The following is a 20659-nucleotide window of genomic DNA, read 5'->3' as shown; positions in this document are numbered from 1 at the left end:
AAGGAAAGTTTCTACTTAAATCATCCATATTAATAAAAGTCATCATTTTCAGGGTAACTGTATAAACAGGAGTCAAATACACTGAAATTTACCACAAATTCCAATTTGGTTAAAATATGAGTTTATTCATCTCAAACGATAATTTTAAAATAAATTTTTAAATAATATTCACATTCTAACTTTTTTGATAACTGTATATTTAAGAACAGTGTAGTAAGTTTATAATCTACTTCTAGAATTACAAAATAGCACAATAAAATTGAGCACTGAGCAAAGCCAAATAAACACTGACCATACTATAAGATTAACAAGTAATAATCTTGTACTTGGAACACTGTTTATGTGATTGTGGCCAGGCTCCTTCTGCCATCACTGTGAAATATCACCTTACAGGCCCTGACTGACCCATAATTTAATTTACTAAGAAGATAATATAAGATTAAAAATAAAAGAAGTAATATATCTCTATTTTATTCCAATGAAAAGTATATCATTTAAACCCATAGCACTCCTCCCTGCAAACCATCAAAATTTACCTGTGAAATTTCCATTATGATGTTCCTTGTTCATTGCTACACGTCTCTGGTCACAATTTTTTCCATTCTCTGCCATTTCATAGATCAGTAACTCTTGAGGAGCTAATACAGCAAAATAAAATCCAGCAATACATTACAAACTTCTGCTGTGTAGCTGTGACTGAATAAAACTGAATACAGGAATAACATCACAGTAATAAGCCACATGATATGTATGATGTGTTTACACTTTTTTTCTTTTATAACCAAAATTTGAACAATTTAGTTATTCTATTGAACAATTTATATAGATATTCTAATACAAATAGTAAAAATATAAAAGCCATATAGTTGTAAACCTTTTCCTAGTAGTTATTTCAGGGATCTTCCAGATTGAAATTTGGAGGTAATCTGTCCACAGAAGGAGGATATCAAGCACTAGTAACTCCAAATGTTAACACACTATAAAGTCTAACTCCTTCTAATTTACAATTAAATATCATACTACTGTGTACTCAAAATTAATCTTATCATTTTACCTTTTTACAGTTTTCTTTCATATTCCCTTTAACATTATTATATAAAAATAGAATATACTACAAAAGATGCTGCAACTGTTGATACATAAATCTAAGATCATAGACCAGTTTTATTTAGGAAACAATTCTACTGAATAAAATGATATGGGCAAAAAAAAAAACCAAACTTGAAATGTTTAAGATAGTTAAATGTACTTTATTTATAACATGCTTCATTTCATACTACAGGTATCAGTGCTTTTACTTTAATGTAATACAACATATAAAAACCAGATTGCCTGTGATTGTATCATTCTTCAGGTGTTAGTAAAGCAAAACTTTCTACTCAAAAAGCACATCACTTCAATAAAAGGCTAAAATGCTGAGTCCTTAATACAATAAATGCTGAGTCCTTAATACAATATTAAAACTTGCCCAGACACTTATAAAAAGACAACTGGGGCCGGGTGCAGTGGCTCATGCCTATAATCCCAGCACTTTGGGAGACCAAGGCAGGATGATCACTTGAGGTCAGGAGTTTGAGCCCAGCCTGGACTACACAGTGAGATCCCATCCTACATAAGATAAATAAATTAGCCAGGAGTGATGACCCATGCCTGTAGTTCTAGTTGCTCAGGAGGCTGAGGTGGGAGGATTGCTTGGGCTCAGGAGTGAAAGGCTACACTGAGGTATGATTGTACCACTGCATTACAGCCTGGGCAAAAGGGAGACCCTGCTTCAAAAAAAAAAAGAAAGTGAAAATAAATACAACCCACAGGAGAAAGTATTTACAAATCACATATATTTCATAAGAAGCGTGTATCGGGCCTGCAAACTCTTACAACTCAGTAATAAAAAGCAAATAATCCAATTAATAAACGGACAGAGGAGCTGCACAGATATTTCTCCAAAGATACACAAATTGCTAATAAGCACATAAAAAGATGTCTAACATCTTTAGCCATCAAGGAAATGCAAATTAAACCACAATGAGATACAATCTCATACCTGTTAGGATGGTTATAGTAAAAGACAGATAATAGACCAGGCGCAGTGGCTCACGCCTGTAATCCCAGCACTTTGGGAGGCCAAGGCAGGCAGATAGTGAGGTCAGGAGTTCAAGACTAGCCTGCGCAACATGGTGAAACCCCGTCTCTACTAAAAATACAAAAATTAGCCTGGCGTGGTGGTGGGTGGCTGTAATCCCAGCTACTCGGGAGGCTGAGGCAGGAGAATCGCTTGGACCCCCGAGGCGGAGGTTGCAGTGAGCCAAGATCGTGCCATTGCGCTCCAGCCTGGGTGACAGGAACAAGACTCTGTCTCAAAAAAAAAAAAAAAAGAAACAAAAAAAAGATAATAATAACAAGTGTTAGTGAGGATGTGGAGAAATCGGAACTGCTGGTGGGAATGCAAAAGAGTTCAGCTGCTTTGGAAAACAATCTGTCAGTTCCTCAAAAGGTAAAATACAGTTACCATATGACTCAGCAATTCAGGAATGTTCATAGTGACACTGTTAACAGACCAAAGGTTTTTTTTTTTTTTTTTTTGAGATGGAGTCTCTGTCGCTCAGGCTGGAGTGCAGTGGCATGATCTTGGCTCACTGCAACCTCTGCCTCCCGAGTTCAAGTGGTTCTCCTGCCTCAGCCTCCCAGGTAACTGGGATTACAGGTGCCCGCCACCATGCCTGGCTAATTTTTGTATTTTTAGTAGAGACGGGGTTTCACCATGTTGGTTAGGCTGGTCTTGTACTCCTGACCTTGTGATCTGCCTGCCTCGGCCTCACAAAGTGCTGGGATTACAGGCGTGAGCCACTGCGCCCAGCCTATAACCCAAATGTCTTATCAACTGATGAATGGATATAGGAAATACGGTATATGGTATACCCAAACAATGAAATATTAGCCATAAAAAGAAATAAAGTAGTAATACATACTACTGCATCAATGGAGTCTGAAAATATGCTAAGTGAAAGAAGTCAGTCACAAAAGACTACTTGTTATGATTCCCATTTATATGAAATTTCCAGAATATGCATATCCATGATAACAGAAAGTGGATTAGCAGATGAGCTGGAGAAAAATGGGGAGTAGCTGCCAATGAGTTGTGAGTTTTTTTCTGGGGTGATGATAATGTTCTAAAATTGTTTTGATAGTTGCATAGATGTGAATATACCGTTTAAATGGGTGAATTATATGATATGTGAATTATGTTTCAATAAAGCTGTTTAAGAATAGTCACCAGCAGGAACTATCCAAACTTCCAAATATTCATAGGAAATATATGTTATGAATACATATGAATAATATATTCATAGATTATAAATAAATAAATAAATAAATAATCTCATTTATTCATTCATTCATTTAGTTATGTTGCCCAGGCTGGTCTCGAACTCCTGGCCTGAAGCGATCCTCCTGCCCCAGCTTCCCAAAGTGGTGGGATTCCAGGCATGAGCCACTACCCACGCGTCTCTATATTTAATAGAAGACCCAAGAGTATTAGGAGTATTCTCATGGCCAAGTGGCTCAAATTTTTATATTTTATGAGCGGATTCAGTGACAATTTAGAATTCAAAGTCAGATATATGAGTTAGGGGGTTATATTATTAAGAAAGAAAATTCATGAAGTCACTTGATAAGATGCTTGTATAAGGTTTGTTTACCTATTCACTGAACAAATACTAACTGAACACTTTGTATGTGCCAAGAGTCATGCTAGATTTATATTTAGCTGATCAGAATATGATATGGTCATGGGTCCAATCTTCCTGTAGTTTGATAGCTGGTGCTAATTTATTCCTTGTCTAAACTCTAACTATTGTAACTATTTTCAAAATTTATGCCTCATAAAGGAAAACAAGTGAAAGCCTATAAAAATCACTAGAAAAAAAAGCACACATTCATCACTGTAATATTCTCCTTTTTAAGATACAATCCATTTGTGTATACCTTTGTTTTGTTGTCTTCAATGCTGAATAAGCAAATAAACACATCAAGAAATAAAATATAGGTTTCTATTAGTATAGATAGCCTTAAGTAGACAATCATAAGATTTAAAATCTGAAAAATCTGGATTTGATCCCAGATTTGCCACTGATTAGTTGTGTGATCTTAAGCAAAGTTTCATTTTCTTTAGTCCTTCATTGTTTGGATTCACAAAATGAGGACAATAATTGCCACTTTCAAATGATTGATGTGTAGATGAAATAATCTATGTATGCATGTGTATGTTTGTTGATACGCATGCATGTGTGACTATAAATACCAATACATCAAAAGAGTAGGAGGTAATAAACGTACAAAATGCCTAAACTATAAAAAACAACTTCACAGCACATGCCTCATTGTTATTGTATCAGTGATGCCAGTGTTGTTCATTCAGCTCTCATTTTAAAAGTTCGGGGGTCTCCAATGGGCACTGAGGATACAAATATTAATAGGATAAGGAGGTCCCTGTCCTCAAGAGGATCACAGTCTGGTAAAGAAGCCAAATGAACACAAGAAATCAATTATAACAGAATGGGATGAAATAGGCATTTTAATAAAATTAGATGAAAAGACAATGTTTTAGTCAGGTCTTAAGAGTCTAACAGGGCCAGGCATGATGGCTCACGCCTGTAATCCCAGCATTTTCGAAGGCTGAGGCGGGCAGATCACGAGGTCAGGAGATCGAGACCACCCTGGCTGACACGGTGAAAGCCTGTCTCTACTAAAAATACGAAAAAATAGCCAGGCATGGTGGCGGGCGCCTATAGTCCCAACTACTCTGGAGGCTGAGGCAGGAGAACGGCATGAACCCAGGAGGCAAAGCTTGTGGTAAGCGGAGATCGCGCCACTGCACTCCAGCATGGGCGAGACAGAGCAAGACTCCGTCTCAAAAAAAAACAAAAAAAAACAAAAAGTCTAACAGACTGGAGAAATTTGTAAATCTCTCTAAACATCAGTTTTTCTTAATTTGTAAAACAGAGATAACATGACACACATCAGAGGGTTGAGGATTAAACAAGATAATGTACATAAAATACTAACATATTGCCTCACCTTTCACGTGACCTCAATATATACTAGCTATTATGAAGATCGTGAAGTAGAAAGCACTATCGGAGCTCACAGGACAAAATATTCAGACCAGTTCATAGAAGCTTAAAGTTTGACTCTGCAAACTTAAGTCATACTTGTGTGAAGATTCAGCCAAAAGATAATGTAGCCCAAGCAATTACAAAACAATAACAACAAAAACCAAAGATGCTAGAGCATCACAATAGGTTTACAAAATGGAAATCTATTTCACAAATCTGAATTTTATTAATAAAAAAATCAACTGAGGATGTTTGAAATGGAACCATATAAAAAAGTTAATGATTTTCCATCTGCCAGTCATTTAACTTGAAGCTATACTTAAGTTCTGCAAATACTTAAAACTATGTGGGTTTGGCCAGGTGTGGTGGCTCATGCCTGTAATCCCAGCACTTTGGGAGGCTGAGGCGGGCAGATCACCCGAGGTCAGGAGTTCGAGACCAGCCTGGCCAACATGGCGAAACCCCGTCTCTACTAAAAATACATAAATTAGCTGGGTGTGGTGGCTTGCGCCTGTAATCCCAGCTACTCGGGAGGCTGAGGCAGGAGAATCGCTTGAACCCAGGAGGTGGAGGTCGCAGGGAGCCGAGATTGCACCACTGCACTCCAGCCTGGACAACAGAGCAGGACTCCATCTCAAAAAAAACAAAAAAAAAAACAAAAAAAACTATGTGTGTTCATATTCAGCCAAATCCTATAGGCAATATCTTTTAAAAAATATTTTGAAGATATTTAAACATTTGTAAATATCTAAATATATGATAAATATTTACAAATAAGATATTTAAGGATATTTAAGATATTTTAAAGCCAGCCATTCATCTCTATCACAGTAAGTAAAATTTATTTAATTTGTGATGAAAAGATAAACAGGGCACAAAAAGGTTTGCCTTATAAATAACATTCTAAAACCTTTCTCCTACAAAACACTGATAATTGAACTCATTTGCCCCTATTTACTCTTTCCCATAGTGTCATTGTTTTACCCAAAACATTTTGGGTCTATGAGTGCGTACTTATAACAATGGTATTGCACAATTATTTGAAGGTTTTGTTTTTAAGCTATTGCAACAGGGGTTTTCATTTGAGCAAATAATGTGCTCTTACACAACGTGCTAAAAAAGAACAGCATACTGACATTTCCTTCTCCAAAATTCTCTCTGGAAAACATAATAGTCTGAAATTTTGTTTTGTAAGAAATAACCCAGGGAACTAAGTTATTTTCATCAGTCTATTTCTTCATAAACAAAATAAATTTGCAGTTTAAAAAACAACTTTTCAAAACCTTCTTGCCATTCCCAAAAGAAGGAAATATAGCATAAGGCCAAACAAGAGAGCCACTGAGGTTCTAAACAGTTAAGCTTATAAAAGCATCAAAACCCTTTTTTTTTTTTTTTTGGCATTTTGACCATTTAGCATGATTTAAAACCATCCCAAGTATGAAACAGCCAAAATAAAAGACCCACTAGTGTTTTAATAGTTAAGCTTATAAAAACTTCAAAGCTTTTCTGCATTTTAACCATTTTCTAAAGGATTTAACATTTTTCCTTGCCTTTCAAAATTCCCTTGAAAACATCCTCACTTTGCCTCTTCTTCCCCCAATCATACGTACTGTAAAACTTTGTAAAACTGCAGTGCCTCCAGAATCATCTGCATTCTTATGATCTGTCTAAGAAGCTGAACATAACTGAAGAAAATCACACAATTACAAAGCCACTTCAAATTCTTAATTCAACAAATATATACCAACGGTCCATTATGTGCCAGTTATTATTATTATTATCATTATTATTTTGAGACAGTCTCGCTGTGTTGCCCAGGCTGGAGTGCAGTGGCACAATCTCGGCTCACTGCAACCTCTGCTTCCCAGGTTCAAGTGATTCTCCTGTCTCAGCCTCCCAAGTAGCTGGGACTACAGGCACCCACTACCACACCTGGCTAATTTTTGTTGTTTTTTTTGTTTTTTGTTTTTGTTTTTTTTTTTGAGACAGAGTCTCATTCTGTCGCCCAGGCTGGAGTGCAGTGGCACCATCTCGGCTCACTGCAAGCTCCACCTCCCGGGTTCATGCCATTCTCCTGCCTCAGCCTCCCGAGTAGCTGGGACTACAGGCGCCCGCCACCAGGCCCGGCTAATTTTTTTGTATTTTTAGTAGAGACGTGGTTTCACTGTGTTAGCCAGGATGGTCTCCATCTCCTGACCTCGTGATCAGCCACCTCGGCCTCCCAAAGTGCTGGGATTACAGGCGTGAGCCACCGTGCCCTGCCTATTATTATTTTTGAGACAAAGTTTCACTCTGTTACGAAGGCTGGCGTGCAATAGCACAATATTGGCTCACTGCAACCTCTGCCTCCCGGATTCAAACAATCCTCCTGTCTCAGCCTCCCAAGTAGCTGGGACTACATGTGTGCACCACCACGACAGGCTAATTTTTATAGAGATGGGGTTTCGCCATGTTGTCCAGGCTGGCCTCAAACTCCTGGGCTCAAGTGATCTGCCCATCTCAGCCTCCCAAAGTACTGGGATTACAGGCTTGAGACACTGTGCCTAGCCCAGTTATTAAGATGCCAAAGCTCAAACCTAAAATTGATGATTCCTGCTAATAAACTTTTTTTTTACTTTGACAACTATTTCATTCTTTGTTTTTGCTCCCAAAACGTTTTACCCTCCTTTTTCCTTTCTTATTTTCAGACATTGACTTTCTTTTTTCTTTTTCTTTTCTTTCTTTTTTTTTTTTTTTGAGACAGGGTCTCACTCTGTCCCCCGGGCTGGAGTGCAGTGGTGCAATCATGGCTTACTGCACCCTCGACCTCCTGGGTTCAAGTGATCCTCCCACTTCAGCCTCCCGAGCAGCTGGAACTACAGGAACATGCTAACATGTCCAGCTAATTTTTGTATTTTTAGTAGAGACTGGGTTTCCCCATTTTGCCCATGCTGGTCTTGAACTCCTGGGCTCAAGTGATCCCCCTGCCTTGGCCTCCCAAAGTGCTGGGATTACAGGCATGAACCATATCCAGCCCTGTTACATTTTTTTAAATAACAAAAGCAGTGAGAGAATTCACCAATCCCACTACTATTAAGCCTACTAAAATATTTACACTTCACCCATGTCAGCATTTTTCTCTCTTTATGACTTGGCAGTGTCCTCTACTTACCAAAGGCCATTATGTCAATATATATATATCATTTCCTTCCTCCTTCTCAGGGACTTTGCTCCTTCTGTTCTCACTGTGTAATCAATCTTTACCCCTTTATTCTCACCAGAAAATTAAGTACTCAGTATTTCCCATTTTTCATTCCTTCTTCATAAACAGTGCTCAAAAGAGTTGCCGACATATACAGGCTCCACTTACTCATCATCAAATTTCTGCCTGATCCATTGTGATATGACTTCTGCTCCGACAAATAAAAATAAATTGCTTTTGTGAAGATTATCGATTACCTCCATTTGCCAAATCCAAAGGACATGTCTTACTGAATCTCTTACCTTCGCTGAACACAAGTATCCACTCCCTATTTCTTGAAATACTTTCATTTTTCCTCCTATTTCTCTGACGGCTCCCCCTGCTCTATGTCCTGGGGTTCTTCAAAGCCTGGTCCTAGATTCCTTTTTATGTTCCTTTATATTCTCTCCCTAATGATGTCACCTATTCACTCAGCCTTAAATACCCTCTACATACTGACAATTCTTTCTTTCAAAGGCAAAATGATGTTGCCATACTGCTTTATGAAAGTGCTTTATGAATATGCTGTAAGAATAATTAGAATCACAGAAGGAACTTTAGAGAATATCAAGCCTATTCTACTTATTCACAGATAAACATCTCAGAGGTAAGGGACTTGTATAATGTCACAGAACAAGTTAGTGACAAACCTGGAGGCAGGACCCAGATACAATGGTGATCTTAGGAGTACACTGACCTACTGGGAAGACAACCCCACCCTCCAAACTAAGTCAAAAATTATTTTTCTGAGAATTTTGAAAGGGACAAGCTCAATCTAGAAAAGTGAGGTAATGTAAGAGCTGGCCCCAAAATGTGATTTAGGAGTTAAAGACTCAAATCTTTTTTCCTGAGACAGTCTTGCTCTATCACCTAGGCTGGCATGCAGTAGAGCAATCACAGCTCACTGCAACCTCCACCGTCAGTGGAGCTATCACAGCTCACTGCAACCGCCACCTTCCAGGTTCAAGCCATTCTCCTGCCTCAGCCTCCCCACTAGCTGGGATTACAAGCATGTACCCCCATGCCCGGCTAATTTTTTTGTATTTTTTAGTAGAGATGGGGTTTCACCATGTTGGCCACGCTAGTCTTCAACTCCTGACCTCAGGCGATCTGCTAGCCTTGGCCTTCCAAAGTGTTGGGGTTATGGGCATAAGCCACTGTGCCCAGCCTAAGACTCAAATCTAATCAAATTGGGAGTACAGGTTGCTGTACGTTTTTTATGTTACACTGGGGGGCATTATTAGGCTGGGCTCATAACCATAAAATTATTAACTAAACTGCCTGAAAAAAATAATTTAAGGGGACTGGTTTTATGATAAAAGAGAAGTTCAACAAAACAAAATAGAAAGTCTATCTCCAGCACAGTGCAGCAGAAGTTAGCCTATATAAATCTCCTATCTACTGGGGCACACAGCATCATGATTACCAACGGCTTTGATCATCTTACCATCCACCTTTGAGTTCATGCTCCCAAATAGTATTTTGTTTATAATCTGACTTCTCATGCTGATTAGCTATAAGGAGAGTATATGCTTGTAATGGGCTGAATTGTGCCCCCCCAAATTCATATGGTGAAGTCCTAACACTCATGTGACTATAATTTGGAGATACTGCCTTTAAGAAGGTAATTAAAGTTAAATGAGGTAATAAGGGTGGTACTCTAATAAGGACTCACGTCCTTATTGGAAGAAGTACCAGACAGCTTTCTCTTCTACCTGGACACAGAGGAAAGACTATGTAAGGACACAGAGAGAAGGTGGCTGTCTGTAAGCCAGGAAGAGAGTCCTCACCAGAAATAAACCCTGCTGGCACCTTGATCTTGGACTTGCAGCCTACAAAACTGGGAGAAAAACAATTTCTGTTGTTTAAACATAGATGGGGTTTTGCCATGTTTTGTCTGTGGTATTCTGTTATGACAACCCTGGCAGAGCAATACAATGTTGATTAGTATAAATAAGGGTATCCAGATTGCAGAATTGTTTTGTTTTGTTTTGTTTTGTTTTGTTTTGTTTGTAGAGACAGAGTCTCACTATGTTACCCAGAGTGATCTTCTGGGTACCAAGTGCTCCTCCTGTCTCAGCCTCCCAAAGTGCTGGGATTACATACAGGTGTGAGCCATCTTGTCTAGCTAGACTACCTTTTATCCAGAAAAACCTGATGTATTTACTGTATGTGTCTTCAAACTGCAACAGTGACTAATCTAGCATCAACATACCCTGTTAATCTTACTTATTATCATCTTCATCATGACCCATTTTATAGGGAAAAAGGAAAACTTGGTGGCTGAAAGCTGCCAATACGTCCTGACTTACTAGTTTTAGGTTAAATAATTTGCATTTGTGCATATTTGTAAAATATCCCCATCCTTATTTTTCTTTTTTGAGACGGAGTTTCGCTCTTGTCGCCCAGGCTGGAGTGCAATGGGGCGATCATGGCTCACTGCAACCTCCAGCTCCTGAGTTCAAACGATTCTCCTGCCTCAGCCTCCCGAGTAGCTGGAATTACAGGTGTGTGCCACCACACCCAGCTAATTTTTGTATTTTTAGTAGAGACAGGGTTTCACCATGTTGGCCAGGCAGATCTCAAACTCTTGACCTCAGGTGATCTGCCCACCTTGGCCTCCCAAAGTGCTGGGATTACAGGTGTGAGCCACCGCGCCCGGCCCCCATCCCTATTTTTATATCATGTTTTTGTTTTGCTTTGGGGGACTCTCAACAAGTTAGCTTCTCTACTTTAAGATAATTTTTTTTTTTTGAGATGGAGTTTCGCTCTTGTTGCCCAGGCTTGAGTGCAATGGCACAATCTCGGCTCACCGCAACCTCTGCTTCCCGGGTTCAAGCGATTCTCCTGTCTCAGCCTCCCAAGTAGCTGGGATTACAAGCGTCTGCCATCACACCTGGCTAATGTTTTGTATTTAGTAGAGACGGAGTTTCACCACGTTGGTCAGGGTGGTCTGGAACTCCTGACCTCAGGTGATCCACCTGCCTCGGCATCCCAAAGTGCTGGGATTACAGGTGTGAGCCACCACGCCCAGCCAAGATAAATAATATATAAGTGCACTACACAGTGACTGGCACATAGCAGTCGCTTAATGTTAGTTTCTCCATGCTGTTTAATATTTTTAAATGCAGTATCATACCCATCAATCTCCATGCTTCTCAAATGTCACAATTTTCCAAAAAAATCATGGTAAATGCTGCCCTGAGTATTCACTTACAGGTACTTCCTTTCCATATTAGTATGCTATACAAAAGCCTATGTAACTGGTTTCCATAGCCTACATAACAGAAGTAGCCACAGATTTAGAACAATCTTAGTTTATGTTGAATAACAAAAATGAATTATTATTCATCAATCTAAACATCTTGAAATGTAAGACAAGGACAATCCGTCAAAAATTATTATGAGGTAAAAGGGTTCTAGTCTATCCACATAGCTAAAGTAAGATGAAATAATCATTTTTAATGAGAGCCACTTTTCAAAATTCAATAAAGTAGCAATAATTTTTGAAATCTGTGATGATACAATGTCAGTGAGATTCCTAGATGTAGGAGTAAATCCAAGTATTCCTAGTCTGTTTAAAATGTTGAAATGTCCTCAAACAGAAATCTAACACATATTCTTGACCTTCAATGGCATCTACTTTGCACCGAGTGCACGTATGTAAGTTAGTTTTGTTTGTAAGAATGAGGTTGCTGAAACAAATCTTATAGGTCTGTGGATGGGGTTGAGAACACAAACCGGGCAGAAGCATAACTCAAACATCAAATAATTTTCATTTTGAACACTTATATAGATACAAGAAATGCATTAAAAGAGTGTAACAGACCTTAACTGCAGCTGAAGCATTTAAAACAGAGTTAACATTAAATGTGGGGTTTTTTTTATTTGTTTCCTGCAGAAGTGCTTAGAAAACACTGCAAAAATCAGCTCACAAAGGTTCTTTGTAGGCTGTATATCCAGTGCTAAGACTATAATACTCCATTCATTTTAAACATTAGTCACACTTGTAATACAGAAACAATGTGCAAGTAAATTACTGAGAGTCCCCCACCAAGCAAAACAAAAAACATTTATGGATAACATGATAAAAGCATCTCCCTGAGTAACATAAGAGTTATTGGAACAGTTAACAAGGTAGAAAAGGAAAAGAAAGTGAGAGTAACAAAACCATTGATTTTCATTTTCTTGGCAACATCATCCCAAAATAAAACGAACATACTTTCTTTAAAAAAAAAAATCATCTATCCAGATGAATTTTACTTTCTCAAAAAAAAATTATGTCAGTGTGCTCAATAAAACACATTGTTCTTCATACAAGGCACACAAAGATAGCCAATAAGTATTATGCTTCTCAGTAACCTTTCTTGCTTTCAGAAGTATCTATTTGTTTGTTTGTTTGTTTGTTTGTGACAGGGTCTTCCTCTGTCACTCAGGCTAGAGTGCAGTAGCATGGTCACAGGTCACCACAGGCTGGAACTCTTGGGCTCAAGCGATGCTCTGGCCTCAACCTCCAGAAGTATCTTTTCTTAATTGGATTAGACTACTCCAAAATAGCTGTAGATTTCCCTAAAACTGTTAAGATTAAGGAATTGTGATCTACTCTTGGAAACAAAATAACTAATCTGAGTAATATATCTTGACAAACGAGGCTTTGATATAGTTTTCCACTTGTGCAGGGGTATAAGGCCAAAGATAATTCAAATAAAATGCACAATATCAGAGTAACTATCAGACATATCAGAGTGTCATCTGATATGTCTATCTGTGGTATATCTATCATGTGGTTGTTCCAGTTAAAGAATGTGTACTCTGAAAATTCATAATAATGTGAATGGGGATATATGAAAAAAAATTCTTGAATTTTTTTCAACTTTCTAAGGTCTTGGGGAGGGCTGGGTGTGATGGCTCACACCTGTAATAACCCTATCGTTTTGGGAGGCTGAGGCAGGAGGATCATTTGAGGCCAGGAGGTCCAGACCAGCCTGGGAAACACAGTGAGACCCCATCTCTTAAAAGAAAAAAATGAAACAAAACAAACAAACAAACAAAAACAATTAGCCAGGTGTGGTGGTATGTGCATGTAGTCCCAGCTACTTGGGAGGCTGAGACCAGAGGACTGCCTGAGTCCAGGAGCTTGAGGTTGCAGTGAGCTATGATTGTGGCACTGCACCTCAACCTGGGTGACAGAGTAAGACCGTGTTAAGAGAAAGGAAAAGAAAAGAAAGGAGGGGCCGGGCACGGTGGCTCACACCTGTAATCCCAGCACTTTGGGAGGCCGAGGCGGGCAGATCACGAGGTCAGGAGATTGAGACCATCCTGGCTAACATGGTGAAACCCCATCTCTACTAAAAGTACAAAAAATCAGCCGGGCGTGGTGGCAGGCGCCTGTAATCCCAGCTACTTGGGAGGCTGAGGCAGGAGAATGGCGTGAACCCAGAAGGCAGAGGTTGCAGTGAGCTGAGATTGTGCCACTGCACTCCAGCCTGGGTGACAGAGCGAGACTCCGTCTCACAAAAAAAAAAAAAAAAAAAAAAAAAAAAGGAGGGAGGGAAGGAAGAAAGGAAGTCAGTCAGTCAGTCTTGGGGAATTAGACAAAACCCCAAATTAGGATGCAATTTAAAAACATTCAGAATCTCCATTAATCTCCCAATAATGGATCAGCAGGTAAAGAGGGTATTTCTGGCCTAAAAAGTTCCTCAACTTAAATCTAGTGATGTATAAAATACACTCAACTCATCACAGGTTTCTAATTGTTGAAAAATTATAAACTGCCCTGGGTCTGATTTTTTTTTTTCTTTTTAAAACAAAGTCTTGCTCTGCTCTGTCATCCAGGCTGGAGTGTAGTGGTGTCATCTCGGCTTACTGCAAACTCCACCTCCCAGGTTCAAGTAATTCTCCTGTTTCAGCCTCTGGAGTAGTTGGGATAACAGGCACGCACCACCATGCCTAGCTAATTTTTGTGTTTTTAGTGGAGACAAGGTTTCTCCATGTTGGTCAGGCTGTTATCAAATGCCTTACCTCAGGTGATCCTCCTGCCTTGGCCTCCCAAAGTGCTGGGATTACAGGCATGAGCCACTGTACCAGAGGTGGGAGGTAGGAGGATCGTTTGAGGCCAGGAGTTCCAGACCAGACTGGCCAACACTGTGGAACCCTGTCTGTACCAAAAATACGAAAGTTAGCTGGGAGTGGTGGTGCAGGCCTGTAGTCCCAGCTCCTTGGGAGGCTGAGGCACAAGAATCGCTTGAGCCTGGGAGGTGGAGGTTGCAGTGGGCCTAGACAGTGCCACTGCACTCCTGCCTGGGTGACAGAGCAAGAGTGTGTCTCCAAAAAAAAAGAGATTAGAAAAAGAAAAATCCCATTTCTCATTTTCTCTTAATCTACTTCTAAATGTTCCTGCAGTTTTTCATAACCAATGCAATCTTAGCAAAACATTTTCATCAAAAAGATGGCGGACCGGCCGAGCGCGGTGGCTCATGCCTGTAATCCCAGCACTTTGGGAGGCCGAAGCGGGCGGATCACGAGGTCAGGAGATCAAGACCATCCTGGCCAACACAGTGAAACTCCGTGTCTATGAAAAATTAGCCGGGCGTGGTGGTGGGCGCCAGTAGTCCCAGCTACTCGGGAGGTTGAAGAAGGAGAATGGCGTGAACCCGGGAGGCGGAGCTTGCAATAAGCCGAGATCGCAACGCTGTACTCCAGCCTGGGCGACAGAGCGAGACCCCGTCTCAAAAAAAAATAAAAAAAAATAAAAATTGGAGGACTAAGAGTAAGGTCAAGAATTAAGATAATGAAGGAATACCAGACTAGAGTTGGGAGATTTGGCTAAGAGTGAGACCTTGGCATTGTCACTTCACATGCCTGATTCTCTTTTTCCTCATTCAGTTATTAGTCACATGGAGTAAATGAGTGCAATAATTTCCTTTCTAGTTGTAAAAAAAAATTCCAACTAGCACAAGGGTAGAGTTTTGGATGTATGTAATAACAACTACTTTTGTATAGTGATTTATAGTTTAAAAATAGGTTAACAAACATAATGCTAACAGCCATCTGTAAGGGACTGTTATTTTTATCCTTGCTTTTAGCAAATGAGAAACTGAGTGCTCCAAGGGCCCCAAATAGCAAGTCGGCAGCATATAAATGTCAAAGCAGGAGTTCAACCTCGCTTTTCCAAGTCCAAATTCAATAGTTCTTCTACTATACAAAACAGTCCAGTGAGAGGATTTTCAGTGGTCACTGAGGAATTCCAGAGTCACATATACACACAAGATGAAAAAACAGTCCCAGAAGTTTAGCTTGTCCTAGTATTTTCAAATGTTCCCCATTACTAGAATTAACAGAACACTCATCCCTATTGATTCTTAGTACTTAAAGTATCTACGAAACTCACGTAGTATCTATGAAACTATCTGAAACTCCCTACTTTACTGTCCCTAAATACCTGGGGCATTTGCACTTGTATAACTGGGGTGAAAATACTCTCACTGGACTGTTGTGTACACTAAAGTAGAAGAACTACCGAATTTGGACTTGGAAAAGTCTGGGTGAACACTTGCTCTGACATTTATATCCTCTATTCTTTCTACTCTAAAGCAACACCACTGTAGGGATACTGAACTTTTTCATGAGCCACACTTATGAATAAGCTAAGAAACAAGTCTCAAAAAATTGCTAAGAATGGGCATTATAAATGACAATCTCTGATAAGCCAGAAATTATGTCAACCTTTAGTACAAAAAAAAAATAAAAAATTTTCTAGGTAGTTAGAAGTTAATGCACACAGTCCTAAATAACACAGGCCAAAATAAAAGAAAAATTTTAAATGCTCAGAACTACTAGAACAAAGTGAATTTAGCAAGGTCACAGGATAAAAGATCAAAACTAATACTTTCCACCATATACTTGGAATAAAAATTGGACTATTACATACTTGGAATAATTTTTTAAAATTTCAGATTCAGTAACATCTGAAAATATAAAATATTTAGAGACAAATTTAACAAAATATAAGCAAAATCTAAAACGAAATAAAGAAAGAAAATAAATTATACAGAGCCTAAATAAATGATTAGCATGTTTTGTTGATTGTTTGGAAGACTTGATATTGTTACTATGTCAATTTCCCCTGAAACGGTTTGGCTCTGTGTCCCCACCTAAACTGTAATCCCGATGTGTCCAGGGAGGGTCCTGTAATCCCCACATGTTGAGGGAGGGAGGTGATTGGATCATGGGGGCCGTTTCCCCCATGCTGTTCTCATGATAGTGAGTGAGTTCTCACGAGATCTGATGGTTATGTGTTTGACAATTCCTCCTTCACACTATTTTCTCTTCTGCTGCCTTGTGAAGAAGGTTCCTGTTTCCCCTACCACCATGATTGTAAGTTTCCTGAGGCCTTCTCAGCCATACAGAACTGTGAGTCAATTAAACCTCTCTCCTTTATAAATTACCCAGTCTCAGGTAGTACCTTTATAGCAGTGTGAAAACACACTAATAAATCCCTCAAAGTGATGTATAGCCTTAATGAAGATCAATCAAATTCAAGCAAGCTTTATAAAAAAAGCAATTCAAATATTTATAGAAATGCAAAAACTTAGAGTAGCGAAAACAATTGGGATAAAGAACAAAGTTGAAGGACTTGCACTAACTGATGTCAACAATTACTATAAATCTACAGTAATCATGACAGTGTGATATTGGTAAAAGGATAGTTAGAAGCCAATGGAAAAGAATAGAGAATACAGAAATAGGCCAGGCACAGCGGTTCATGCTTGTAATCCCAGCACATTGGGATGCCAAGGTGAGAGGATCACTTGAGTGCCAGAGTTCAAGACCAGCCTGGGCAACATAACAAGACCCCATCCCTACCAAAAAAATTAAAAAATTACTCCTGTGTGGTGGCATGCACCTCATGGTATCTGTGGTCCCAGGTACTCAGGGGGCTGAGGTGGGAGGATTGCTTGAGCCTAGGAGGTCAAGGTTGCAGAGAGCTGTGATCGTGCCACTGCAATCTAACAATCTAGCCTGGGTGACAGAGATCCTGGCTCAAAGCCCTCTCCCTGCACCGCCCCCACCCCCCACCAAAAACAAAAACAAAAACGCAAGAACAACTTTCATGTGCTTTAAAATAATTATATATATACATTTGAAAAAGGTGAAAAACCTTGCTCCCCACTCTCCCTGCTAGATGTAACCACTTTTATTAGTTTTGTGTATCTGACCTTTCTTCTTTCAAACACTCCTATTATTGTTTGAGTATGTGTCCCCTCCAAAACTCATGTTAAAATTTAACCCCTAATGTGGCAGTAGAGTGAGACAAGGCCTTTAAGAGGTGATTGGGTCACGGAGGCTCTGCCCTTATGAATGAATTAATCCATTCATAAATTAATGGGTTAATGGATTAATGGGTTATCATGGGGGTAGGACTGGTTGCTTTATAAGCAGAGAAAAAGAGAACTGAGCTTGCACACTCAGCTCCCCCTCCATGTGATACTCTCGGCACTCTGCAGAGTCCCTCCAGCAAGAAGGCCCTTACCCAATGTGGCCACTCGATCTTGAACTTTTCAGCTTCCACGGCTATAAAAATTAAATTCCTTTTCTTTATAAATTACCCAGTTTCGGGTATTCTGGTATAAGCAACAGAAAACGGACTAAGAAACCTTCTTTTTTTTTTTTTTTTTTTTTCCTTTTAAGACGGAGTCTCGCTCAGTTGCGCAGGTTGGAGTGCAGTGGCACGATCTTGGCTCACTGCAACCTCTGCCTCCCGGGTTCAAGCGATTCTAATGCCTCAGCCTCCCTAGCAGTGGGGATTACAGGTGCCCACCACCACGCCCAGCTAATTTTTGTATTTTTAGTAGAGATGGGGTCTCACCATGTTGGCCAGGCTGATCTTGAACTCTTGACCTCAAGTGATCTGCGCACCTTGGCCTCTCAGTGTTGGGATTACAGGTGTGAACCATTGTGCCCAGCCCTAAGATACCTTCTTAGTCTCCGTTTTGTTAAAAAAAAAAGTCTCTCTTTTTTTTAACAAAAAAAAAAAAAAAAAAAGAGAGATGGGGTTTTGCCATGTTGTCCAGGCTGGTCTCGAACTCCTGGACTCAAGCGATCCACCCACCTCAGCCTCCCAAAGTTCTGGGATTACAGGAGTGAGCCACTGCATCCAGCCCAGATCTTTCTTTTACCTGCCCTTGGCCCTCTCCTCTCCCTATCTCCCCAGGTGACTCATCTGGTCCATGGTTGAAAATACTATCCCGTATTTGTATTTCTGGTTTTGACCTCTAGATTTATATATGTAAGTGCGTGACTTGGATGATTTATTATTATTATTATTATTATACTTTAAGTTCTAGGGTACATGTGCACAATGTGCAGGTTTGTTACATATGTATACATGTGCCATGTTGGTGTGCTGCACCTATTAACTCGTCATTTACATTAGGTATATCTCCTAATGCTATCCCTCCCTCCTTCCCCCAACCCACAACAGGCCCCGGTGTGTGATGTCCCCCCTCCTGTGTCCATAGATGATTCTTTAAGTGTCTCAAAATTAACATGTCCTTTTCTCCCTACACCTACCCACCTTCTTGTAACAAACAAACCTGGTCTTCTCCAAACCTCCCTTCTCCCAGTACCTGGCACAACCACCCACCCAGTCACTAAATCCAGAAGCTTAGTCATCCCTGACACTTCCCTTTTTCTTACCACTCATCTAACCCAGGACCAAGTCCTATACCAAATATATTTGGTATCCACACACAACTGTCCATCTTCTTTGCTACCCTTCTAGTCCAGACCATCTTCATCTTCTTCTTGGACTATGCAGTGGACTCTCAACTTCTCTCTCCATTTCTGTTCTTGCCCGCTTCAATTCATCCTTCACACATGAACAACAATGAACTTCTTATAAATCCTATTACTCCTCTACTTAAAATTGTAGAATGATTTCCTACTGCACTCAAAATCAAATTCAAACTCATTCCCTTGGCCTGCAAAATTCTGCATGACCTGGATCCTGTATATATTTCCTATATCATCTCATGTCAATGTATTCCAAGTCTATTATGCTCCAGCCTCAAATAAGCATATATCCACATTGTTAACTCTCTCTTAGACCCTCATGTGCTGCCTTCCTAACAATTCTTATTTCCCATTGTTTTCCCCAGAACCTGGTGTAAGGCCTGGGACACAAAATGTTTGTTCACTGACTGGATAATGAACAGATAAGGCAATAGATGTCACTGGAAAATGATCTTTCCATTCCAAGAAAGTGCTAAAAGACATCATGAAACATCAAAAGTTTCAATTGCCAAATTCTGTGTTATGGCTTACACAGATAATGTAGTCTGTTAATACCAAAAAGTTAACAGAATGGCCCAAAAGAATGCCTCATTTGGTTAAGAATCTCACATATGTTGTAAAATATAGACAAAGTGAAGTGTATACTCAGATATTTATTTACTGGAACTTCATTAATAATGAGCAAACAATAATTAAGTAAGCAGCAACATAAAGCTATGCTTTTAAAAGAGGGCTGGGAAAGAGTTCTTGGCAATAGCTTAGGGGGCCACATGATGATAATGATCACAATCATGGTTAACTATATGCTACAGACACTGTTCTAAATGCTTTATTTAAACCTATTCATTCAATCCTAACAAGAAGGGTATTGACTTCATTGTCCAGGAGGAAACTGAGATAGCAAGAAGTAAAAAGTAACTAATCCAAGAGTTGCATAGTAATAGAGCTAGAATTTGAAAAAAAGCAGTCTAGCTTTATAGCCCTGGCTTTTAACACTACCTGCCTAGTCCTTCCAGGTAATCTATAAAGAACAAAGTTATCATTAAAAAACTCAAGGACAAGAGAAAATACTCCCATGAACTACTGAAAAGATTAAGTAGTTCAAGAATACAAACAAACTCTTGAGCAATTATAGGTATATTAGCTGTGATATAATTACTCAATAGATTGCCCTTGCTTAATTTAAATATGCCTTAAACTTTAAGTATCACCTTTTATCTGACACAGAAAATTATCTCCTGTTCAAATTTCCTTGATGCTGCAAATCAAGGAGCATATTTTAAAATAAGCTTTATATAAGGGCCTACATAATACCTAACTTCAGTTCAGCAAACTCCATCCAAAGCTGCTTTCCCATATAAAATAAGGAATTTCTTGAGGCAATATGCTCTTAGCAATTTACTATTCCTCAAAATATTTGCAAGGCTTTGTGAAAGCAGAGTAACAATTTACAAAACCACGACAAAGTTATCACTTCAATTTGTCCTGTTTATTAGGATTCTCTAATCTAGAGTTCATTTCCACACCAAAATGG

General features: G+C 39.4%; 1 protein-coding gene across 10 annotated transcripts in view, besides 1 other annotated feature; it reads right to left on the bottom strand.

Annotated features, from left to right (window-relative positions):
- VMP1 (vacuole membrane protein 1) overlaps positions 1-20659 on the bottom strand; it is a 134602-nt gene that overhangs the window by 110197 nt on the left and 3746 nt on the right. For all 10 annotated transcript variants that reach the window (NM_001329394.2, NM_001329395.2, NM_030938.5 and 7 more), the window contains exon 2: positions 537-638. In NM_001329394.2, coding sequence (NP_001316323.1) covers positions 537-612 — 76 coding nt within the window. In that variant the 5' untranslated portion in view covers positions 613-638. The remainder of the gene's footprint in view (positions 1-536; positions 639-20659) is intronic.
- Positions 14374-14873: an enhancer, noted in NCBI's record as "H3K4me1 hESC enhancer chr17:57794547-57795046 (GRCh37/hg19 assembly coordinates)". NCBI's record gives its function as "activates a minimal SCP1, AML or CMV promoter by ChIP-STARR-seq in naive H9 embryonic stem cells {active_cell/tissue: H9 hESC(naive)}" and the evidence as "EXISTENCE:reporter gene assay evidence [ECO:0000049][PMID:30033119]".

The sequence above is a fragment of the Homo sapiens genome, chromosome 17 (assembly GCF_000001405.40).
Source record: "Homo sapiens chromosome 17, GRCh38.p14 Primary Assembly".
NCBI lineage: Eukaryota > Metazoa > Chordata > Mammalia > Primates > Hominidae > Homo > Homo sapiens.
Note: the sequence above shows the minus strand (reverse complement) of the source record. Positions and strands in the feature narration are given on the sequence as shown.